Raw genomic sequence first — 26,809 nt, forward strand, 5'->3', positions numbered from 1 at the left:
GCAACCTACAGAATGGGAGAAAAGTTTTGCAATCTATCCATCCGACAAAGGGTTAATATCCAGAATCTACTAAGAACTTAGACAAATTTACAAGAAAAAAACAACCCCATCAAAAGGTGGGCAAAGGATATGAACAGGCACTTCTCAAAAGAAGACATTTATGCAGCCAACAAACATGAAAAAAAGCTCATCATCACTAGTCATTAGAGAAATGCAAATCAAAACCACGATGAGATACCATCTCGCACCAGTTAGAATGGCGATCATTAAAAAGTCAGGAAACAACAGATGCTGGAGAGGATGTGGAGAAATAGGAAGCTTTTACACTGTTAGTGGGGGTGTAAATTAGTTCAACCATTGTGGAAGACAGTGTGGCAATTCCTCAAGGAACTAGAACTAGAAATACCATTTGACCCAGCAATCCCATTACTGGGTATACACCCAAAGGATTATAAATCATTCTACTATAAAGGCACATGCACACATATGTTTATTGTGGCACTATTCACAACAGTGAAGACTTGGAACCAACCCAAATGTCCATCAATAATAGACTGGATAAAGAAAATGTGGCACATATACACCATGGAATACTATGCTGCCATAAAAAACAATGAGTTCATTTCCTTTGCAGGGACATGGATGAAACTGGAAGCCATCATTCTCAGCAAAGTATCACACAGGAACAGAAAACCAAATACCGCATGTCCTCACTCATAAGTGGGAGTTGAACAATGAGAACACATGGACACACAGAGGGGAACATCAGACACCAGGGCCTGTCGGGGGGTGGGGGGCTAGAGGAGGGATAGCATTAGGAGAAATACCTAATATAGGTGATGGGTTGATGGGTGCAGCAAACCACCATGGCACTGTATACCTATGTAACAAAACTGAACGTTCTGCATATGTTCCTCAGAACTTAAAGTATAATAAATATACATATTTTTAAAAACACAAAATAATAAAAATAATAAAAATTTTAAAAAGAAGCCAAAGTGGAAAATCAAGCCTTTAAACTTTTTCATTTGTAAAATACTTCATATTTTCAAAATACCTTCACACCATTATCACATTTTATCTTAATAACATCTCTATGATAGGTAGATGCTCATTGTTCAGAAAAAAAGAGGGGAAATGAGGTTTGCTAATAGACCAATAAGCTTTGCAAACTCCCTCCTTTGAAGCGGGTCAAGGTGAAAGCATGCAGGGGTATTTCCTACATAATAAGGATGATCACCCTCATTATATCAGCCTGAGGTCATTGTTGAGCCACTACACATAAAAACCTATTTCATAGCTACTTTCCTCCTCACCAAACAGCAAGTAGAACACATGAGACTCTGATTCACTCTTCAGAATCCTTCAGAAAGGATTTCTGATTTCCTTCAGAAAGGAAAAGATATTGTCTATTCTCTAATATTTCATTTTCAGTAGCATCACTGTTTATGTGTGACAGTCTACTTCTTCACAGTGATTTCCCATTTTTCCTGCTTTATCCTTCGTCTTCAACTTTAGGCAGACCATCTCAAAGCTCAAGAGAACCCTGGGTGATTTCTAGTTTTTTAGGCTCCCAGAAAAATGAAATACAAAGAGAACCAAAATAGAATTGCAAATTTATGATTTAAAAAGTAATACTTTTAAGCAAATATGCATATAAAAAGACACTCAACATCATATGTCATTAGGGAATTTAAAATAAAACAACAATGAGATACCATTACACACCTATTGGAATGGCCAACATCCAAAACACTGACAACACCAACTGCTGGCAAGGATGAGCAACAAGAACTCTCATTCATTCATTCTAATTCTGGTGAGAATCCAAAATGATACAGCCACTTTGGAAGAAAGTTTGGCAATTTCTTACAAAATGAATGTACTTTTACCACATAATCCAGCAATCATGCTCCTTGATATTTACTTAGATGAGATAGAAATTTATTTCCACACAAAAATCTCTACATCGATGTTTATAGAAGCTTTATTCATAATGGCCAAAACTTGAAAATAATCAAAATGTCTTTCAGTAGGTGAGTGGTTAAATAAACTGTGATACATCCATACAATGAAATACTATTGGGTGCTAAGAAGAAATTAGCTATTAAGCCATGAAAAGACACGGAGGACACTTAAATGCATATTACTAAGTAGAAGAAACAAATCTGAAAAACTATGTGATTCCAATTCTAAGACATTTTGGAAAAGGTAAAACTACAGAGAGGTAAAATGATCAGTGATTGCCAGGGGCTTAAGGGGAAAGAGGGAGAGAGAGGTGGAACATGGAGGATTTTTAGGGCAGCAAAATGACTCTGCATGATACTATAATATTGGATACATATAATTGTACATTTGCCAAAACCCGTACAGTGTACAACTCTAAGAGTAAATTCTAATGCACACTATGGATTATGGGTGATAATGACATGTCATTGTAGATTCACCGATTGTAACCAGTCTTGTGGGGGGTGTTGATAATGGAGAAAACTATGCATGTGTCGGGGCAGGGAATATGGAAACTCTGTGTACTCTCCACACAATTTTGCTGTGAATCTAAAACTGATCTGAAAAATAATCTATTCAAAAAATTAATGCTTATAACATGTACATACACACACACAAAAATACAAATGTATGTATAACTCCATTGAGAGATAACATCAAAGCTCTTAATTTGAGGCCCATAGCAATTAGTATTGGTAGTTGCAAACAATACTCTCTGGTTTAAACAGAAGGTAATTTATTAAAGGATATGGTTAGCTTGCAGAATTTCTAGAGAAACCAAAGAATTCCATCTAAATGGTGCATATCTTGAAACCATCCACAAGCAATAATCACAGGAAAGACTAGCCACCTTGGCCACCGGCCACTTGTCCCAGAACACACATGGGACTGGATGCCAAAACTCTGCCACAGGAGCCCCAGAAGAACCAGATACCTCCACCATCGCTTACCAGATGGTCAGTCTTCCCACAGCTGCCTCCTTATGTTACTTCTCTATCCAAGTCTTGCACGGATGTATCTGACTGGAAGTACCTGAATCGCATTCTTCCAAATAGCCTAGAACAAAAATTTTTTAATCTATCATGAAATGGTGAGACTACCAACATGGGAAACTATCAAAATGCTGGAAATCTAGAAAGTAACTCAAATCTCAAGTTATAGTAAACAGACGTAGTATGGAACAAGTTAAACCTGAAGAAAATCCAAAAGAGCCCAACAGAGAACTAGATGTGGGAATCTGTAGCAAATTGGAGAGGTTAAGCATGGAGATATACAGATAAGGAATCATAGTATATGGCGATAGTTAAAACCTAGAGAGCAGATGAGAGAGACCAGGAAGAGAACATTCAGTGAAAAGAACAAAGACCAAAGCTGAAGCCTTTGGAATCACCAGTGTTTAAGGGTAAGACGGCGTAAGAGAATTCATGAAGGAGATGAAAACTGATGAAGGTCCTCAGCTTTCAAGAAGAATGGAGTATCAAGGTTCAAAATCAGCAAAGCATTCCTGTAAGATAAGGACTGAAAAATCCCTGTTGGATTTGGAGATCTAGAGACAGCTGGTGAGCACCATGAATGTACCTGCATTCTAACACTACCATGGTACATCAAAATGGTCTGTTTTGTTGGCTCCTCTCTTAGCCTGTTATCTTCTAAAAGGCAGGAATGATGTCTCATTTAACTCAGAATCTCAGCACGTAATACAGTAGATGGAACAGGAAATTCATTAAAGATGTGTTGATCCTAACTGAACTGAGACCTGAGGTTTCCCTTTGAAAGTTCATCCAAGAAGCTAACAGTGAAATTCCTAAACATTCAAATCTTTGTGCTTCTTGACACCCTGACTTGCCAACTTCTCTGATCCAGAATTACTCATTATTAGCTCCTAATATCACAAGTTTAAATGAGACCCCCCTTCCTTGCTTTTTGGAACCTTTCAATAATTACCTTCTCTTTAACAAGGTAATGATAATTAAAACAATAATAGCAGAAATAGCAATCACCTGTAGAGTACTTTACATTTTACAAAGTATTTTAATACTCATAATTCCCATTCAATAAAAATAACAGCCCTGTGAAATGAGTATTTTTATTTTCCCTATTTTGTGACTGATCTAAAAATCACTCATACTTAGAGGTTCCTGCTGGACTCACCAAGGTCCTCTGGCTTCAAATCTCAAGCTCGTTTCTCTCTGCCACACTAGCTGGGATGGCCCACAAAGATGTTGGTTCCGTCATTTTATGCCTCCAGGCTCATATGTGATTAGCATTTGGAGATATAATTTATCAGTTGGCATCTGTTGCTGGAGGTACTGAGAGTGGATATTAGTCATTTCAAGGGATTCAATTTAAACCTAGTGAGTGAGATGATTTCTTAAACTCTTGGAGGAAGATGTTGAAAGACTCACATCTTGATATATTGAAGAGGGAAGAGATTTTTCTAAGTATTTGGGAATCAGGATTCCAACCTGGCCAGTTGACTTGAACTTTGAGTTCCTTCTTACATTTAGGAGAATGATGATGTGGGTGAGACCCAGGGTAAATTATTAGGACTACTGGGGTTGGTGGTAGGTTCTGCTTTACCAGGTTCTGATGATACTGCAACTGACCAAGGAACCCAAAATTCCAGGGTTACAGCAATAGGGATAACGAAAGTAACTGCTGCTGCCCTTGTTTTCCCCAAGTTTTACAAATACTTGCTCTTGTGTCTCGCTCTCTCTCTCAAATTTGAGCACAAAACTCAATTTCAGGCTATATGGTTCAGTATCAGATAGCCCAGAACAACAAAAAAAAAAAGCAGGAGAAACTGGGCAATTTCATTCAAAGCAAATCAAGCAAAGCTGTAACCTGAGCTTTTTTCTTCCTTAAAGGTGTTAAAAATCCTTCAGTACCTCAAGTGGATAGGAAATTAAGATTACGTTCTTTGATTTTAAAATATTTAATTCAGTTTCTTTCCAAAGTTCAGCTCTCAGGATGGCTCAACTCATAGCTCCTTCCTAATGTAAATGAATTCAAAAGCAAGACATGCTGGGATGGGAGGGCAACTTGGAGGCCAGCAAAGTGGGGTATGAGGAAAAACTAGGCAAAAACTTGTAGCAAGGGGCCCAGTAGCAATGGCTGGCCAGGGAGAGCTTAGCCAAATGGTCTAAAGTATCCAAAGAATGTGGTTAGTCCAGATATGGCCCTGGGACTGTAACCTGGCATTCAGGGCAAGTCATGGAGTGAGCCCATGGGTCAGAGGATAATGCAGAGTTGGGAAGAGCTGCATCAGCATCCTGGAAAAGAGCAGAGAAACAACATAGTAGAGAGCTCTGCTACTGAGCCAGAGAAACGTGGCTTGAAATTCAGCTTTGCTCTTCCTTAGCTGTGTAACTGGGGCTCCTCTTGAACCAGTTTCTTTTTTATAATAAGGGATGTTCATACCTTCCTTTTATGATTGCTGTGAGAATTAAAGAAAATATTTATAAAGCACCTTCTATAATACTTCTACAAAACAAACACAAAATGAATGTAAGCAATTATAATTATATAATGATCTGTCCTTTCACCACAGCCACTAACAGTAGCTGGGAACATGGAGAATACAGAGAACGTTAGCCAAAATTAAGAGGAATTATATCAAGATTGGGGTTTGGAAACTTGAAACGGTATTTATTCCATAAATATATGAGGAGCTGCATATTACCCCAGGCATTGGGGGATTTTTCCTTAAACAAAAAATACCAAATAACACATAAGAACAGTTATTATTACTTTTAACATCCCCCTAGTAGAGACTCTTGTGGATAAATTCCAGCTTGGTTAGGAAAGGAAAGATGGATGTGCAAGTATAAGATGCAGCCACGCATTATAAATCATTTCTGACCAAAAGGGCTGTCTAAAGTGAAACTGGCCACTACATCTGATCACAAATTACTTCCAAAGACACATAGAATAATTGGAGATTAAGATAAGAAAGATCGCCTGTAGGAGAGAGTATAGGCTCTGAGTTGTTTCTCTTAAAAGTTTTGATACGGATTTTTCTGAATAGGTCTCCATCCTGAAGAGCAAACCATCAATATAAGCACTCATTACTTCAACATTTGTGTTCATTGTTAAACATGTTTCTCCAGCAAAGATAGGCTAAAAATGCAAGGAAGATAAAATTCAATAAGTTTATTTTGCAATCCTTCTCAAAGACGCTGAAATAAATATTCAAAAAAGTTTAGTGATAGTGATTATCCCTAGGAATAGGGATAGTACATTTCATTTTTCACACAGATCCCAGCTTCATCCAAGGACAATCAAAAAGTCACTAAATGACGAGCTCTGTAAAAATGGCAAAGACGGCCAACAAATTAAGTAAGCCCAGAGACACAGCAGGAGGGAAGCCATGAATCCAAGACACAAAAGGAAATTTGTTCTTTGAACTTTATTTCTTCTTTCCTAAAATTAATGGCCTAAAACTGTAGCAATCATTTGTAAAAATATAAGTCACATATTCACTTACACAATTTGCCCATTTTACTTTCTACATTTACTCTCAAGTAAGCTGACAGCTGGAGAGAAAAAGGTGCAATCAGCCAAGAAAGTGGCTTTAGAATGAAGCTAATAGGCAGTTATTATGTTGGTTAAAGCTGGTCTCATAGCCAGGGTTCTTTAGAAAAACAGAACCAATAGGATAGATTCCACATAAATAGAGATAGAGAAAAGATGTTTCATGGGAATTGGCTCACGTGATTATAGAGGCCGAGAAGTCCTATAACCTGCCACCTGCAACCTGGAGAATCAGGAAAACCAGCGGTGTAATTCAGTCCAAGTTGGAAGGTCCAAGAACAAGGAGCACCAACGTCTGAGGGCAGGAGAAAATAAATGTTCCGGCTCTAACAGGAAGAAAATTGGCTTTCACTCTGCCTTTTTGCTTTACTCAAGCTCTCAGTGGATTGGATGATGCCTGCCCACCTTGATGAGGGTGGGTTGTACTCAGCCTAGAGATTCAAATGTTAATCTCTTCCAGAAACACAGACACACCTAGAAGTACTGTTTGCCAGCTCTCTAGGAATCTTTTAGCCCAGTCTAGCTGACACATAAAATTAACCATCACAGCTGGTAAAAGAATTTCTCATGATAGTTTTCATTGTTCTTCAGGATAAAAATATGAAAATGTTAAAGTGCCCTAAGAAAATTCAGGAAATTGAGAGAAGGGCCTCATTTTGGGAAGGTGAGCAGAGAGCCTCAGTTGCTACCATGCTGAGGAAAAAACAGACTTTGTCGAGTGAAAATGTAAAACTTGATTGATGTGGAAAAATCTCCTCCTCTGCCTTCCCTATAAAACCCTCAGTGACATCTTCTTTGGTCTACCAGGTATCTGGGTAAGTTGCTTCTTTAAGAGATGACAAAGAGTTGCTGGGTCTGCATCCAGGTAGTTACAGGATGAACACAGAGAAGGTGGTTGTGGCTTCTGGAGCCAGAGGATGACAGTACAGCTGACATCTGGGTTACAGGATGTGGGGAATCCAAGAATCAATCCACAGCTATTCATCAAAAACCTGATAAGTACTTAGCATGGACCTTGCCAACCAACGTAGGGAAACAAATTAAAAATAACACATAGTAGGGCTGGAAAGAGAATCTTGAGTGAAGAAAAAACCCACTCATAAAGCACCACTTGGAGTAGACAAGGAAGCCACAAATGAAACCTGAGTTTTCCAAATATTCTTAGCTTGAAAGCAGCCTGTTCATTAGAATAGCACAGGAATCTAGGGAAATCATCACTGATTTCTTCCTTCAAATACATCAAAATCAAAAAAATCATCTTTCTTTCACTCATCTTTTATGTTTAATATCTGGAAGTCTTTTCCATCCCTAGTCTCTCTTCTCTCAGCCTTTCTCACTTCATCTTTAGGTCCACAATATCAGAAAAGAAATGTAGTCATGTATGGTATAGACAGGTGTTTATGTCTCAAAACATTGCCACTTTCCAGTAAACAGTCATCAAATCCAGGAATAAAAAAGAGCCATCTCTCAAAATAAGGATGGACAGTATAGAGTGCCTTCTGTACAGTCAGTTTGGAGACTTATCAAGAGCAGAAAACACTGAGTTTCTTCTTTTGTTTCCTTGTATGTCTGTCTCCCCTATTTGAATGTCTCCCCTATTTGAATGTCTCCCCTACTAGATGCTCTAATGTACACACATCCTCTTTCTTGTTCATTGTTAGAGCCCCAGCACATATGACAAGGCCAGTAGTAACTTCCAAAGGAAAATTTGTTGAATGAACAAATGAATGATGTGTTTTTCCTGAAAACTTGGCTAGTCTATTCAACTCTTCAGGAGGGAAAGATGTGTTGCTCATTTAAATCATTGGAATATTTCTTTAGAATTGTAGTTGTAACAATTGAGGAAGGAAAAAGAGCAGCCCCTGACACCCAGAAGCTGGCCTGGCTCTCACAGGTAGACCCTGTGATTCTCCCATTAGACATGAACCATCTCACAGAAAACCAGCCTCTGACCAGGCAACTTTGAGATCATGATTACATAAGACCAAGCAGGGCCACTTCATAATTTTGTCTAAGTACAGACAAAAGCAAGTCACTGTACCACCCACAAAATACCAAACACCCTATCTCTTGGCTGAAATGAGGACTGCTACTTCTTTACCAATGACAACTTTATTCTCCCTATAGTTTCCCCTTCCTATAGATAAAAGTCATTGAGATCCATAATCAGAGAATTGCCCGGCTTTCTAACACCATCCAATCTAGAGGGAATCCCTGCTACCTCAGACCCTGCCTCAAATCACCCAATCAAAGTCCAATCTTACAAGGTCCTTTCTAACACTCTCTTACTGAGACACCCATAATTCCCATAATGTGTGTTCTCCCTCACTGCAACAAGTAATGAACCAGCCTTATTCAAGTACAAGAGTGTTTCTGGAGGTCTTTGGCTGGACATCATTAATGGAGTATTACATCAAAAAAACACAAAAAACAAAAACATGAGATGAGAGTTAGAAGTTCAAACTTAGAATGATCACAAAATACCAGCTACTGTTAGATATTTGATTGATAATAGTAATAATAGCTAGCACTACTTGAGCTACTACACCCTGCCAGACACCGTGCCCTATCTCCTTTAATCCCTATAACACTATTAGGTCAATTCTATTACCTTCCCCCCTTACAGATGGGGAAACTGAGGCTCAGTGAAGTAACTTGTTCAAGTTCACACAGTAAGTGGAGGAAGTGGCTTTAAACCCAGATATTATACTGACCTTTCTACAGGTGGTTTACTTTCAGAGGGGGTTAAATTTTAATGTACTACATTCCTGAAGTTTCTTGACAAAGATACTATGTTCAGTGTGAGAGAGACAACCTTCAAACCAAGAAAGGTAAGAACTTCAGCATCTGTTCAGAATATCCTGGAGGGCTCCAGGCCTCTGCCAAAGCAACTCTCCAACTTTCACTCTTCAAAGAAGCTTAGTCATTGGCACCAAATTTGCATCACAAAACTACTTCTCAATTGGTATGTTTTCTAAAAGCTAAAAGCAACTGTCTTTCTGTCTGCATAAGTGTTTCTCTCTGCCAGATAAGATAGAATATGGGTTTTGTTCCTGCCAAAGGAAAGATCACTGCTTTCAATAAAAGCAACAGACTACTTTTCCAACTGTGCCATGAATGTTCTCCAGCCATCCCGAATGGGCTGAATTGACAAAATATCACTCTCTCTCTTCTGAACCAATAATAACCAGGAATGGTTATATCTAAAGCTAAAACAGGGCAGAAAGCTGCAAGATTGGCACCCCAGAGAAATCAAAAGAAGTGTCAACAATGCAATATCTTATCAAAATGTGATTCTATTTCTTCTCTCACTTCGGAAGGAAATCTGCAGAATCGCACTGAAGTTGCATTATTGCTCTCCAATGCCAATCCAGGCGAGAGGCACACAAGATTATGAGAAAAGTTCTGAGACACTTGGCCCACATGTAACAATAAAAACAAGACCAATAGCCAGCCAAGAGGCTCTTTGCAATGTCATCATTTGGCTTAATTCTGTTGGGACAAAGCGGGTGTTTACAATATTCCAAAGGAAGGAGACACAGGGCCATATTGCAGGAATATGGTTTCCTGTGTGGGCCTGGCATGAGAGACCTAAATAAGATAAATTCACACAACAAGGAAGCTGGAAAAATTTCTGCAATATGAAGACATTTCCAGGGGGAAAAAGAGGGGCCCCTGGGAACACTTCCATTTCCCACAATAAGAGTCTTTCTTTACAATTTGTTTCCTCTTCTCTAGTAACTCAGTGGCTAAAGCCCAGCCTATGGACTGGGGCTGGGTAATTATTTCACAGAACCCACTAATCCACATACATATTTACTTCAACGAAGTAAACAAAAACATTATTATATGAGGGTCTATAACATCATTTCACTTTGTAAAGAGGCCAACACTGGAAACATTTGGTCTACACCATATCTCCTCATTCTGCTATTAACAATTTCATGCAAAACAAAACTCAAAAGCTTACTAAAGTCAATGCTTGTTAAGCAGCAATTTAATTTTTTTAAACCTACAACTCTCAAAAGAATTTCCAGGTCACTGAGATATGGAAAAATGTAATGAAACTGTGACAATTAAATTTATTTTGGACAAGGATCATTAGATATCTCAAGTAAAAAGTAATCTACTGAGTGCTGCCTTCATATGATTCACACTTTGGCTGTGTCTAAAAGTTGTTTGTGTATTTACTGTCATATTTACTTGTCCCTGGTTTGGGTTCATTAGTTCTCATTTATTAATTCTCTCTATAATGGGTCACTTTTAGAGCAGTCTTAAAATAGTAGATGAGGACTCTGAAGTCAGATGTGCTCCATTTCTCATTATAATATAAATTAAGATAATAAAATATACCAGACCACTCTTTTAGATTTATTCAAACAGTGTTTCTAAGATTTGGAAATTCAGCCCTGAGTATTTCATGCATTTGTTACTCTCTTATCTCCTGTTTTGTCTTCTTAAATTTTTCTTGCTAAATTCATATCCATGTTTCCCAGAAGCTTCTGAGAATTCTTCAGATTTCCATTTTAAAAATTGCAGGAGGAAATGCACTAAAGCTAAGTGATTGCTCCAGACGATGAAAGTAGTTTCTTTTTTTACAATGAGCATATGCTTTTATAATGAGGAAAATATATTAAAAATAAAATGTGGAAATAATAATTCTAACTCCATAATCACGTGCAAACACTGCAGTAGCTAACTTCCTCCCCTTATCATAAATTCTGATCTCTTAGTTTTTACTCAATACTTACAAAAAAGCATTTGCAATAACATTTGATAAAAACAGAAATATCCTAAGACTGTTTCTTGTTCACACAGATCACAGAGGACAACTGGTCCTTCCACCTGTCTTTCCTTGTCGCTCTCGGCAATCAACAACCATGGAGTTTGTACTTTACTTTTTCTGTTTCATATCCTTCCTCCACTACTGGGAAGTAGGACTTTGAAATTTTGGAGACAAAGGAACAACCCTGCATCTGCATCCTTCAGGACTGGTTCTTGATCTACTAAATTAATCTAGAAAATTCTGTCTTACCCATGCCTATTTTCAAAACTTCTTAGTTGTACTGAAAAGATGGAAGGCTATAGGGAGAACTTTGTTTAAAAGAAACATTTAAATGCATCCAGTTATTATTTGTAAGATATTTCCCAGTTGTACATTTTCTGTTTATTGTTGTGACCAATATTTTAAGTATTTTTGTATTATTAACTGGGTTTCCAGGAATAGTCTTAATTTATGATATTGCTTTTAGAGAAAATAAGGACTTAATACAACCATCATATAGGATGGAATTAGGTAGCAAGTTGAAGGCATAAAACCCAGTTTCCTCCTATTTCCACCCTTTTTTTAACCATCTACTTTAACTAAGTTTTCCTTCTTAAAGCAATGGCCTGCCATAATTATTTGACCAGCTTCCACTGTCCTTTCTGACAAAATAAAGAGGGAGCAATGACATTCTGGTTTTCTATAAAGAAGAATATCAAAAGGTGAATGCAGAGACAAAAGAAAACAACTGATGATGTTGCCTGTACCCTGGGGAAGAAATATACTTAACATAATCCATGCCCAGGGAAGTATCCCCTTCTTATATTGATAGGAAATTAGATGCTCGAAAATTAAACTGCAAAACCATGGTGATTTGACCACATATCAAGTTGACACTATTGAAAAAGTAACAGCCCAGATCCAATATTTCAATATCATCAGGCATCTCTAGAACTGTTGTTCCCTTTTCTCTCTGTATGATGCCACATAGAATAAATCTGCCTCCACTAGTAATTTGCATACAGAATCTGGTGACATCCATCTTCCCTAATAACTCAACCAACTTCATTTCTTAGGTTCTCTCCATAGTCCCTAAAAAACCAGCCAGGCACCCTCCCAGGCCACTGTTCCTAAACCTTAGGCTTTCCCTGCACACAGCACTTCTTCGTTGTATACATACAATTGCAGTTATTTCTAACTTGCTTCTCTGTGGTTTATCCTCCCATTCTCAGCAGGGCTTCATTAACATAAGAGTAGGGCATTAATGATCTCCATTCAACCTTCTCTATTCTTATCAGCAATGGAATAATTGGGCCGGGCCGCTGACCTTTCTGGGTCCTGCCTCCCTTCCCACCACCTCAGCCTCACCCAAGGCCCATTTGTGAATATGATCGGTCCCCATTCACTTCTCTCCACTCAGCTCTCTGTGGGGCTTGGAAACATGCCACAAGCATTATTGTGTGTTGTCAGAAAGAGGCTTCGCTCTGGATGGTGTGTTTTGCTCCCTATAATTCATCATTACTTTCTTTGAAAAGATTACTTTTGTAATCCTTCATCCTAGAATATTGATCAAATCAGAGGGGGAAAAAAGCAGGCTAAGAAATATAATTAGGGTCCCTTACTGGGTTGGTGTGAGGGAAGTTACTGACTATTTGTGAAGTAAGAAAAAGAAGAACATAGCTTTAAGGACCACTAGAGGACTTAGGTTTATGTTTAAAGCATTTTGAGATGCTAAGAGATGTTTAAAGGTTAAATAAAACCAGAACATGTTTGGTATAATTGAGAGTACATACCCCTTAAAGACACTGGGCACTTGATTCTGTAGGTTACTGAGGGAGGGCAGAGCTGTATCAGTTAGGATATGCTGGACTGCAAGTAACAGCAACCCTGATTCAACTGGCTTAAATAAATAAGGAAGTTTATTAGATTACATACGAGGAAGTCAATAGTCAAGGGGGCTGCACGCACAAAATGACCAGGGTTCCAGTTTTGTTTGCCTACAGCTCATTTGATTCAGATGTCTTCTATGTGCCTATGTGTACGTTTTGTCTGCAGGTTCCCTGTCCTCATAGGTTACTGAATCACCTGTCCTCATTCAAGAAGGCTACCAGCCATGACTAGCACAACTTACTATCTTGTTTATTTCCTGTAGGTGAGACAATCTCTCCCCTCATCGTGAAACATAAGGCCATGCTTGGGCGTAGTTAAATCTCATGCCTCACCTAGACCAATAATTGACTGCAGAACTGTCACATATTTCTTCCCTAAATCACAGGACTAAATGAAGAAAAGCTGACACCAGAACCAAATCAGAGGACTGTCCTGTTAGGATGGGAGGAAGAAGAGGACAGGCAGCCAATAGTATCCATTGCAAAAGCATCATGATTACAATTGTGGGTTTTGGTGTCCCATGGACCAGCACTGAAATTCCAGCTTCAGACCTTAACCTTAATTATTTAGCCTCTTCTTGCCTCAGTTTTTGCATATGTACAGAATGTCAGATGGTTGGTCTGAGGATTAACTGACACTGCATGTAAAGAAGCAGGCACAATATATGGGATGTTGGTGAGCACTGAGTAAATGATGGCCTATGGGGAATATTCCTAAGGCTACTGTTACTGACATCACTGGGGATGTTGTTATCATGACAATCATTATTCATTATTAAAGTCCTCCTTAGCAGCTCTGATTCTGGGCCCAATTTGTAGATTTGGGGGGTTTCTGAGCAGCTAATGAATCAAGGCTCATAAACTGGACAAGTTCACCCCCTCATCCCTGCATGAGGGGATTTCTGTAAGTAGATAAGAGGTGCTGCCCTCCCCACTCCCAGGGAAGCCATGGCACAGACCTCCACTGACCTTCCACCTTTTAAAAATTCTCCCGATGACTGTGCTTACAGAGACGTGCACCATACCTGCAGACCAGGAGCATGCAGCCCGGAAGAAAGTTGCAGCACCAGTCCTGGGAGTTCATCTTTCCCCTTTCCTGGCTGCCCCTGGTATCCGGTGTCAGAAGAGGCTCCCCAGGAAGTAGCATCTGTGGATCAGGATGGTTTCTGCTTCCCTTTCTTTTTATTATATTCTTGTCTCACACATGGAAAAGGTGAGCCAGTGAGTTCTAAGGATATTTGTTCTGCCACTATACTCCGAAACTAAACCATCTGCCATCCCCAGTATACAATCCTGGTTGAGTACAGATCAGCTACAGGGTAGTTATGAATTTAAGAATACTGTAGTGCCTTTTCCCATTTCCACCATCAGCTATGAGAATTCCAAGGACACCAGGTGAATGTTCTTCCCCGCCTAACTGTCATGCACCATTCTTCCCTGCATCCTGGAGACTACCCCCGCTCCCCTGTCCTGTCATGACCCTGCTCCAAGTAGGTCTGTTGGCCTTGTTAGCTAGTGCAAACCTTCAGACTGCAACAGAGTCTGATGTGTTTATCTTTATTTCTCAGTGTCCTCGCCCTTCTTATCCTCCAAAGCCCTCTCTTTACACATCTCCTCTACCCCTAATACCCCCATTTATCTTCAGCATTAGTTCCTGGGAGCCCTTTCTATTCTTTTGCTTCAGTCAGTGATATGGTTTGGCTCTGTGCCCTCACCCAAATCTCATGTGGAATTGTTATTCCCAATGTTGGGGGAGGGACCTGGTGGGAGGTCCCTTGGATCATGATCATGAGGGTGGATTTGGATCATGGGGATGAATTTGGACCATGCGGGTGGATTTGGATAATGGGGGCAGATTTCCCCCTTGCTGTTTTCATGATAGCGAGAGAGTTCCCATGAGATCTGATGGTTTGAAAGTGTGTGGCATCTCCCCTTCACTCTTTTTCTCTCTCCTGCCGCCGTATGAAGACATGCTTGCTTCCCCTTCACCTTCCAGGCATGCCTCCTTTACAGCCTATGGAACATTTTTATGAGTCAACTAAACCTCTTTTCTCCATAAGTTACCCAGTTTCAGGTATGTGTTTAGAGCAGCATGAGAAGGAACTAAAGCAGGCAGTGATGGTGTTTTCTAAGGGAATCAGCAAAATTGAAAATAGTTTTTCCATGAACAGTGACATTAGTGGCAGAGTGGAAGGAACAGGAATCTAGAGTCAGTCATACCTGGCTTCAGAGCCCAGCACTGCCACAGCCATGTGACCCTGTGGAAGTTACTTAACTTCTCTGAACTTCAATTTATTCATCTGTCTGCTGGCATTTTTTAAAGGTTAAATAAGACATAACTGAAAAGTGCTGAGCTTAGGACCTAGCCCAACAAATGACAGCTTTAAATTGTGATAGTTACAGCACTAACAGAAGTAAGTCAATAAGGAAGATTCTATTTTAGGGGAATTCTCAGCCAAGATAAGGGGCACTGTCTTCTCCTTGTCAAGTCCTAATTTAATAAACAAATCATTTTTACAAGATTGTGAAGGAAAAATTCAGAACACCAGGAGGTGGACATCAACCAGAAGGATTTTTACACAAAGCCCCTTCATTTTCTACTTAGCCCTTGGCTGGTGAGTTTTCTGTCATGAAAGGCTTTAAAAGGGATTTCAGTGAGGACCCCTCTGTTTTTCACAAGTCAAGTAAAAAGAGTCCCTTCTACTGTCAACCTTCATGGACCATCCCTGCTCACTCTTCCTGGAGGTGAGGTCACCTCCTCCCTCTTTTATCCTGAATAATTGACAGTAATATATCCCGTTACAGCTTTTCATTTCTCATTTGGAGCAATGAACAGTGGGCTTCCTCTATTCTCTAATAGTGATATTGGAAAGTTGCAAGTAGGTAAAAATTATCATCACAAGTTATATAGCCAGGTATAGAGATTTTTGAAGTATAACTTATGTTCTCATTCTCTCTCTCTCTCTTTTTTTTTTTTTTTTTCTGAGACAGAGTCTCACCCTGTCACCCAGGCTAGAGTACAGTGGTGTGGTCTTGGCTCACAGCAACCTCCGCCTCCCGCATTCAAGCAATTCTCCTGCCTCAGCCTCCCAAGTAGCTGGGACTACAGGTGCATGTCACTATGCCTGGCTAATTTTTTGTATTTTTAGTAGAGATGGGGTTTCACCGTGTTGGCCAGGATGCTCTCAATCTCCTGACTTTGTGATCTGCCCACCTCAGCCTCCCAAAGTGCTGGGATTACAGGAGTGAGCCACCACGCCCGGCCCATTCTCTCTAAGTGTATAACTTGTATATATCATCTCTTGGGATCCTAACCTCTCTTAGTGACAATTTACTGATGTTATCCTTTTCCAAATGAAGGTCAGATTATTACAGTGTGTCAGTCAGACTCCAACCAGGAGACAGCAACTACTAGCAATTTGAGCAGGAAATTGAATGTAAAGAATTATTGGGGCTGGGTGCAGTGGCTCACGCCTGTAATCCCAGCACTATGGGAGGCCGAGGCAGGCGGATCACGAGGTCAGGAGTTCGAGACCAGTCTGGCCAGCATGGTGAAACCCCATCTCTACTAAAAGTACAAAAACTTAGCCGGGCATGGTGGCACGTGCCTGTAGTCCCAGCTACTCAGGAGGCTGAGGGAGGAGAATTGCTTCAACCCAGCAGGCAGAGGTTGCAGTGAGCCAAGATCACACCACCGCACTCCAGCCTGAGTGACAGAGCAAGACTCCATCTCAAAAAAAAAAAAAAAAAAAAAAAAAGAATTATTAACTAAAATAGGGGATTGGCATGACAGGGGATTGACTAGTAAGAGGTAAAAAAGAATTCTTGAGAATTTAGGAATCACAAAAGGAGGCACAGCCACGACTATGAGGCTGAGGGAGCACCCAGGGAAGAGGCTCCTTCTCTCAGGCTTAGATGCAAAACTCATGGGAGAGCTGTCACTAGATGACAGAGAAGTTGCTGAGGTGCCACAGGAGTGGAACTTGCTGGAAACCACCCCTCTGGGGTGCAGGACAAAGCTAGCCTCAAAAAGGTGCTTCACCTAGGACCTCACTTCAAAGCCCCATGAGGAGTTAAAGAAGGCAAGCATGGGAAGGTGTCTCAATGGCAGCACTCTGCTGTGAGGCCATTTGGAAGGGTTCAGAGGAATCTTCTGGATGCCTATGGAGAAAGCTGCTCCCTGCAGGTTGCTGGAGAAGTCACAGGCAGCAGACACCTGTTGAGAGAACACCAGGACCAAGAAATGTTAGCAACCCCTTGAGGTGGAAACCAGAGTGGGAGAAGAATAGTGAAACATTCTTATATGTAAGAAGGAGCTGGAGGCATCTACGCAGGCATGGGGCACACCTCCCCACATGCACCCCGGGGAGGCGGCATGCCTCTAGGATCACACTGTCCAATAAGGTGGCCACAAGCCACATCCTTGTATCTTCCTTTACATTTTAAATAATTAAGATTAAAATTAAAATCAGTTTTTCGGTTGTATTAGCCATATTCCAAGTGCTCAATTGCCACACGACACCAGTGGCTACCCTCTGGGACAGCCCCGCTCTGGGAGCTGCTCTGCCTGTGTATCTGGCCATCTGGCCTGGGAGCAGCAGTGTGGTATTTGTTGTGTTTGACCCTGAGGCAGTATTTCTGGTTTCTCACAATATTTGTGACACATTCAGGAGATTCAGAATGTCCTGAGTGCTCTGGTGAGGGGACCCAGGTGTTCTAAAAGGGCCAGCTTTATTTTCTTTAGGAGTCTTGCATAGCGTATCAAATTTGTGACCCTATTACACCTATACTTCTTAAACTGGAATCCCTTGGCACATTTAGAAGCCTCCCTGGGGTCCATGTGGGGAGGTGTGCCCCATGCCCACATGGATGCCTCCAGCTCCTTCTTACATATAAGAATGTTTCACTATTCTTCTCCCACTCCTGGTTTCCACCTCAAGGCGTTGCTTACAATTCTTGGTCCTGGTGTTCTCTCGGCAGATGCCTGCTGCCTGTGACTACTCCTTAGAAGTGTGCCAAGGAACCAGTGTTCCATGCCCAATTCAGATTTTTGAAATATTGGGTTAGGGTTCTTTCTACATAACAAACAACGTCCATATACTCTGTTCATCCTAAATTCCTCTACCTGACCTCCATGGCCATGATCTGTATTGCTTTCCCTGAGAGACTTCTCCAAAGCCTGGGAGGCTGTTCTGCCAGTGACAGGCTGGAAGTGCAAGAAATTGGGAGCAGCTATCAGCAATAGCTGACAGAAGTTGGTGTAAAAATAACACAGCTTCTTGTTCCTCAAGTAGGACCATTCTAAGGCATGCATTTCACATAATCTCCCAAAGTTTCCCCTTGGAGTTAAGCTCTATTCACTTTCTTGGTAATGCACACTTTATTGGCTTTCTTTCCATCCTTGTATCACTTTCCTACTTCTCTTCTATCATATCCTATATCTCCCAAATAAATTACTTGCCCTGAGACCCTGCTTTCACAATCTGCTACTAGGAAAACCCAAGCTAAGATACCCTATGTGACTTCTTAGCATTTTAACACACTAATGAACAGTATCAGTCCTCAAGAGAGGCAGAGCACACGCAGCAGCTCCCAAATGTGCTGTGGTTGGGTCTACCTATTCTTGGCATTCCTGTCACATCTCCCTGAACTGTGTTCCATAAAACCCACCTTGGGAAATGCTGGTTTGGAGCAAAAAGATTCCAAGCTTATAACTCTCAGAGTCACTCTAAAGTAGATGTCAGCTTAAAGGCATCAGTCCAATGGGCTGCTGTGGCCTTTGGCTTTATCTTTACAATATTAGGGGTTCTTCTGAGTCAGAATAGAAATAAAATAGAATGCACTTTCCTGTCTCATTCAGAGCCATAATGCATTCCCGAGAGAGCTCTGTGGGAAGCTCTGCTTAAAAAATGGCATCATGCTTGATATGGTTTGGTTGTGTCCCTACCCAAATCTCATCTTGAATTGTAGCTCCCATAATTCCCACGTGTTATGGGAGGGACCCAATGGGAGGTAATTGAATCATGGGGGCAGGTTTTTCCCATGCTGTTCTCATGATCGTGAATAAGACTCACAAGATCTGATGGTTTTATAAAGGACAGTTCCCCTGCACATGCTCTCTTGCCTGCCACCATGTAAGATATGCCTCTGTTCCTCCTTTGCCTCTGCCATGATTGTGAGACCTCCCCAGCCATGTGGAACTGTGAGTCCATTAAACCTCTTTTTCTTCATAAATTACCCAGTCTCAGGTATGTCCTTATTAGCAGTGTAAGAATGGACTACTACAATGCTACTAAGAAGAGTGCAGAGAAGGCAGAACACAAGGCCGAAGGGAGTAGGTGGTAGCCACCTGGGAATACAGTGAAAAGTTAGCCTTGCTGTGTTGGGGTGAAAAGTCAGAAAAGTGATAAGCTAGAAATAAATAAACAATAAATAGCAAAAAATGGAATAAATGTCTTTGTTCTCCACATTTCAGAATATTAGCCTTAAAGGAAAGCTCTTCATGTCTAAAAGAAATACGTCAAAGATAAAATGGAGTAATTGTTACCATATATGGAAGGTACTTCTTGCAACAGGTGTTATGGGATCTTTCCTCACTTCCTACCTCAAGAGTTAAAAACTGAATATAAAAAAAAAAGTGGAGTCTGAAAAAGGTTAACAAATACTGTATGTTCTCACTTATAAGTGGGAGCTAAACATCAGGTACTCATGGACATAAAAATGGCAACGATACACATTGGGGACTACTAGAGCAGGGGAGGACAAGGGTTGAAAAACTACCGATTGGGTTCTATGCTCACTGCCTGGGTGACAGAATCATTTGTACCCCAAACCTCAGCATCACGAAATATATCCATGTAACAAACTTGCACAGGTACCCCCTGAATCTAAAATAAAAGTTGAAAAAGAAAAAAATAAAAAAGATTAAGCAAAATCCTACTCATCAGAGCAATAAAGAAATACTGTTACATGATATAAATTTTGGAATCAAATAGACCTCGGTTGAATAACGGCCCTGCTATTCAAGTGCACCTATCTGCACTTTAGGTTCCTTATCTATAAAGTGAATACAAAAGTACCTACCTTGTAGGATTGTTGTGAGAAATAAAACTAATTAAATACCCAACATAGTGCCTCAATAAGTAGTACTATCATTAAGTCCACAATAAGTTACTAAAGCATTTAGTATGTCTTGGTTATATTGTTCCCAAAATCTACTGTGGCCAGTTTTAGGGAAAACAGCTAAGAACAGGACCCAGGGATGGATGGACCAGGGCAGGACAGGGCCCACCTGGGAAGAGCAAAGCCCAGCCTGTTCTCTACAGCTCCCACAGCAAACTCACAGAGGCCTCGCTCTCCCCTGTCCAGCAAGACCAGATTCGCTGCTACGTTTCTATTACAAACGGTTTCAATCTTTCATCAGTGCCCAGAAATATCTCCAGGCTTTAGATTTTCTGACAGTTTCTCAGTCCTACAAAATCAAATAAAAGCCAGGATGCTGAATGTAGTTTTGCCAGTCCATAGAAACATTTCTGAGCATCCCAACCACTCCCCTTAATAAAAGCCTCTCTTGATTCCATTTTTGCTTCCAGCCACCTCCCAACTTTTCCACTCTCTTTTTATTAGTCCATTCTCACGCCACAACAAAGACATACCCAATACTGGGTAATTTATAAAGAAAAGAGATTTAATTAACTCACAGTTCTGCAGGGCTGAGGAGGCCTCAGAAAACTTATAATCACAGCAGATGGGGAAGCAAACACGTCCTTCTTCACATGGCAGCAGGAAGGGGAAGTACTAAGCAAAAAGGGGAAAAGCCCTTTATAAAACCATCAGATTTGTGAGAACTCACTCACTATCATGAGAACAGCATGAGGTTAACCATCCCCGCGATTCAATTACCTCCCACCAAGTCCCTCCTAAAACACAAGGGGATTATAGGAACTAAAATTCAAGCTGAGATTTGGATGGGGACACAGCCAACCATATCACCCTTCTAAGTACAACTTCTTGCAAGAATCACTCATCCTATCTCCAACCCTCTCCTCCGGTCCTCTCTTGAGCCCACTGCAATCAGGCCTATCCACCTACTGTTGCCAAACCCAATGTTCACTTCTCAGTTTGCACCTACCACAACTGACCCACCAGCAGTGTCCCAGGACATAGTGCTCTCTGCTCTTCCTACCTCACCAGCCCATTGTCAGCCCCAGCTGCTCTTCATCAGGCCTCTCCTCTTCCACATCTGCCTCACTCCCTTAGTGACCTCATCCATGGCTTTCAGTATCCTCTTCAAGATTTTCTAACATGTCTCAATAAGCTGTCAGCTCTCAAAGGTAGCTCACCAGTGTGGACTTCTGCCCTGAAAATAATCCAAAATCCTTCTTTTGTCCTGTCTATGTCCTGCTTCCTTTTGTGAGAGAGACAAAACATTTCCAATGGATCAGGTCCTTTCTTGGGTCAAGGGTGGACATTGACAACAATCCCACATAGATCCATTTATAAACTGACCTGTTGCTTGTGGAAGATCTTTTATCCTCTTTAAGGTTTTCCAACATGACCTCATGACATATGACATTTTCACTTGTTACAAGACTCTGGACATTTCTTAAGCTGTCTCAGTTTGGGATTCTCATCTATACCTCGGCTTATCAACATTTCACCTACAGGCCAGGTATACAAAGAACATTTTAATCACTTCAGATAGTAGAAGATAGAATACAGCGCACAATATTTAAACAATAGTGAGGCACAGATTTTATTTGCTCTCCCAGAGTTTCCCCTTGGGGTTAAGTCCTAGTAACCCACTGCAGTCATTGACTTGGTAATGCACACTTTCAGAAAGTACACATTTTTAAGATCCTCTATTATGTAATATAACCCAAGATTTTTTTTAGAAGTATTTTCCTGGCAGCAAAGTGAAGGGACAGAGAGACTGATTAAGGGCCTAGAATGAGAGTCTAGTGAAGAAATAATAAAGGCCTGAAGTCCGGCAGTGACTTGGAGGTTGGGTAGGTGCCAAATTTTTTAAAAGTCTGAGCTTATGAGTATAAGATAAAAAATGGTATAAACATCTCCAGCATGTGAACGTGGAAGCTTGTGACATCATGGAATAAAACTGGAAATACAGAAAGAGAAAGAGCAGACAAGGGGCTAATTGATGAACCCTTGTGATGGTAGGTTCTTTTTGCCTCAGAAACTAGTAACCCACTTTCTAACTCATAGGAAAAAGGAGGCCTAAAAATAATCATGATAGGCCGGGTGCAGTGGCTCACGCCTGTAATCCCAGCACTTTGGGAGGCCAAGGAAGGCAGATCACAAGGTCAGGAGTTCGAGACCAGCCTGACCAACATGGTGAAACCCTGTCTCTACTAAAAATACAAAAATTAGCTGGGCGTGGTGGTGCATGCCTGTAATCCCAGCTACTCCAGAGGTTGAGGCAGAAGAATCGCTTGAACCCGGAAGGCAGAGTTTGCAGTGAGCCGAGATCACGCCACTGCACTCCAGCCTGGGCAGCAGAGTGAGATTCCATCTCAAAAAGTAATAATAAAAAATAATCATGATAATCATAAAAAGCACCAAGATAATCAAGAATAGGTCGCCCATGTTCCTGCCTTCCTCCTGCTTGTTGGAGATACTGAAAAACTACATATCCAGGAAAATGTTCTGAACTCACCAAGGCAACAGTATTACATGAAGACAAGGCTAGGGGAGCCAGGCCATACCCTAGGCAGGTATTTGTCCAGTCCAATGGGCATGGCATGTTTAGCGGAGTAAATCCACTAGGAGAGCTGACAAATTAAACTAAGAGCACCACTCAGTAGATACGAAAAAGTCCTGCTTGGTAAAGTGATGGGAAATGGCAGAAGTCAACGAAACAATTGACCCTTCAACCAGAGGTCCCACCTGGGAATCAGCTCCAAAGACTGTAACTGGGTTACTGATGATCAGCGCAGCTCATAGGCCATGAATGTGAATGTTTCTCGTCTCGGTTGTCTCACTGTGCTTTCTATTTTTCAGAAATCATTCCTGTTGTTCTGTTTTCAGACTTAAGGAATATGGATGCTGTCGAAATGACACTGCACTCAGAGATGGAAGGAAGGTGTTCTGGCTGTTCAGTTATCCCACTAACATTTTTCAACTCCCACCATGGACCACCCATGGTGGACCCAAACCAGGGATGCTAACATTGCCCACAAAAGACTTTCAGATTAGTAGCCATAACCACAAACATGTTATACAGCACTGATTCCTTTCCAGGCACTGTCCTATATAATTCTGTTATATTTTAGTGCCTTATATATATTAACTCATTTAATCCTCACAACAACTCAGTAAGATAAGTGCACTATTGTTATCATCCCCATTTTAAAGATGAGAAAACTGAAGCAATAAAGGGTAAGAAACTTGCCCAAGGCTACACACAGAATAAGCTAGGATTTCAAATCGGGCTGGCTGAGTTCAGGGGCTGCGCTAGACTATTCTACGCTCTATAGAAACAAATTATCAACAATTGAAATGGAGCATTTCTGGTATTAGATATTAGAAGTGAGGACATGCTGCCCCCAGGGCCAATTTGCATGGAGAAAAGTCAGGAAAAACTTTTCAGCCCTTGAACAGGGTCTTGCCAGATGAATATGGATTCAGTTTCAGAGAGAGGGAAACTTGTGTGCAGAGGCACTAGACAGGCAGCTGGAGGATGTTAGTTCAAGGTGGCTGGGATAAAGGACTGGAAATGGCATAGCAAGGGGGAAATGTGGGCATGTGCCGAGGCCTTATATATTATACCAAAAATAAATAAAAATATCTTGTTTCTGGGCCATACTTTTTCACTTGGTTCACTTAGTTCAGCACTTGAAGTCATCAGAAAATGAGAGAAGCACAGCCCCCGTGTGATGAAATGGAATGATAATCTCTCCAGCTAGCTCAGAACTGCTTTTGTTCAAGGCTCCTTAAGTTGCGACTATAGCACAATGAGCACATGTAGCCGCGTAACCACCACCAAGGCATTTAATGGGGTAACACAAACCAAGCCGGCTTCCATGATTCTTCTGCTCAACAGGGAGCTCTGTTTTTGGGTCCAACGCCAATCAGAAGTGATTCTTCATGCCACGAGATGTCTACAACTCCCTTTCCATTAGACAACAGTCACAGAGCAGAGAAAAGCCAGGCTTAGAAAGCAAAGCTGCAGTACCAAACAAGAAACTATTCCAGGGAAATAGACAATAAGTAAAGCAAGCAGCCAGCACTCCCTTTAAAGTATCAGAATTGGGGTGAGGGAGGATGAAGCCTCCATAGCAAAGCACAGGATAAATAAGGTGCTTAAAGAAACCCAAAGCAAGCACAGATGCACAGACAGAAGATTTGTGCACCTGACTCTGGAAAATCCAATCCTACGTAGACTGGTGTGAGAAAAGAAGTGTGAGACGTGCAAAGGAATCTAGAGAACTCAGACATGGCAGGAAGAATCCAGCCCAGACCGAAGTAATTCCCTGACCACACCAGTAAGGGCTTTGGTTGTTTCCTCAGAGGGAAAGGACAGGATATTTCCAACCGCATCATCTCTCTAGTGCCCTTCTTGCTCTTTCCTCCCCTCAGCCCACCCAGCTTACCTCCATTCCCAGGGTAGGAAACTCGAGCCCCAATCCCCAGCTCACTTCACCTGAGGCCTCAGAGAATCGAAACATAGGAACAGTCTCTTGCGATGGGTACCGCAAGCACCAGTCCCACTCCTGTGTCTCCCAGACCTAAAGGCTGGGTCTGGGTCCTCTGTTCCCACCACGGCTCCACATCTGGAAGAGCAGATGTGCACCCAAGGAAGTTCCCTCCAGCCCCAGACCTGACTGCTCATGGATTGGAGGCAGCGCGGGAGTCCAGGACAACCTTGCCTTTTCTGCCGCTCCATCTGCACAGGGCACTGCAGCCTCTGTCTCCAGACCTCTGAAAATGAACAGGTTGCACACAAGCTCCAGTTCATCCCCCTCTGCTGAAAGGGGCACTTCCTGTCCTTCAGTCCCCCAAAAATGACTCACTCTCCAAAGTAGTGGTCTCTGATACTTCTTGCTGGAGAGAACCAAAGTACATATTTTCATCAGTGAGGAAGCAGTCTACTATATCTATATTTCTGCACTATTAGTTACACATTGTTGACTGCATAGTAAAATGTGTATAGTTCTTTTTCCATAATGTGAACTCAAATACTTTGGGTTTTTTCTCTTCATAAAGTGCTGAGTCACAGGACCACTTCTGGAACAGATCAGTGTAGATTATCTGGTCCCTCATGACAAATATAGTTACAATTCTGATGTCCAGAGCAGACCTCATCTGGATTCATGTCTGCTAGATGTGTTGTAATCATTCAAATTAACCCAAGCACAGAAAACCCTAGAAAAAACAAGATAGGCCTATGTTATAAGCGAAATGAAATATGGATGAGCTACATGGCTCTTCCAAGAGGCAGAGCTGGGTGCTGATTCTACGTATCATCATGTGTGTGTGTGTGTGAAAAAGAGAGAGAGTGAGAGAGAGAGAGAGAGAGAAATTGCCTGAAAGCTTTGGGCTGGCCCTATGGTAAGAATGGTCCAACAATGTCCTACCTCATCCCCTCCCAGGACTCACTTCTGAAATCCTGATTGAAGTCTGTGGTATGCCTGGTGCCCTAGTACTTAGGGAGTCAACTTGGAGATTTATCCCTTAGGATCCCTGGCTTGAATTGTCACTTTCCAGAAGTCACAACTAATTTATTCTTACTTTGCCCAGGATGCAACGCCCCCCACACTCAAATATTCACCTAAGTGGTGATGTAGGGGAAGACTGGTTATGAAGGATTCACGGTTTTCTCAGTCAATTCCAGATTCTGCTTCACATGAGCTGAGCACCACCTCAAAGCCTCAGGCCACTAATCGCTGTCAAGTCACAGCTGTGCCAATCAATGTGCCTCCCTGTAATTTAAATCTCACATGACTGACTTTTTAAAACCTATCTAACTCAAAAATGTTAAGTACATAGGCTCTGGGATATGTTTTATTTTTATCTCAGAACTGTATCTTCTCCCCCAAAATTGTATTTAAGTGGTTATTTCCTTTTAATTTTTGGAATGAAGACACTGCCTTTTGGCCAGATGCAGTGGCTCACACCTGTACTCTCAGCACTTTGAGAATCCAAGGCCAGAGGATCACCTGAGGTCAGGAGTTCAAGGCCAACCTGGGAACACAGCAAGATCTCATCTCTTTAAAAACAATTAGCTAGGTGTTATGGCTTGTGCCTGTAGTCTCAGCTACTCAGGAGGCTGAGGCAGGAGAATCCCTCGAGCCCAGGAGTTTGAGGTTAAAGTGAGCTATAATCATGCCACTGCACTCCAGACTGAGTGAAAGAGTGACTCTGTCTCAAAAAAAATAAAAAAATGCCTAGAAAGAAAATAAACTTGAATTTTGTGGCAAAACAAGTCTCACTAGGAAATACAATTGAGAAAGCATATTGGCTCTTATATATATTTATCTCCTGTAAACAGACTCTAAAATAACTGAAGCACATATGTTGGGGTTAGGGGCCTGGTTCCTTTCTTTATGAAGTGAGTAAAGTAGTCCCAGAAAATGAGAAAAATTACCATTGCTAGAAG

At 41.2% G+C, this 26,809-nt stretch overlaps 1 annotated feature.

Annotated features, from left to right (window-relative positions):
• Nucleotides 9,216–9,758: an enhancer, noted in NCBI's record as "OCT4-NANOG hESC enhancer chr13:48387787-48388329 (GRCh37/hg19 assembly coordinates)". NCBI's record gives its function as "activates a minimal SCP1, AML or CMV promoter by ChIP-STARR-seq in primed H9 embryonic stem cells {active_cell/tissue: H9 hESC(primed)}" and the evidence as "EXISTENCE:reporter gene assay evidence [ECO:0000049][PMID:30033119]".

The sequence above is a fragment of the Homo sapiens genome, chromosome 13 (assembly GCF_000001405.40).
Source record: "Homo sapiens chromosome 13, GRCh38.p14 Primary Assembly".
Taxonomy (NCBI): Eukaryota; Metazoa; Chordata; class Mammalia; order Primates; family Hominidae; genus Homo; species Homo sapiens.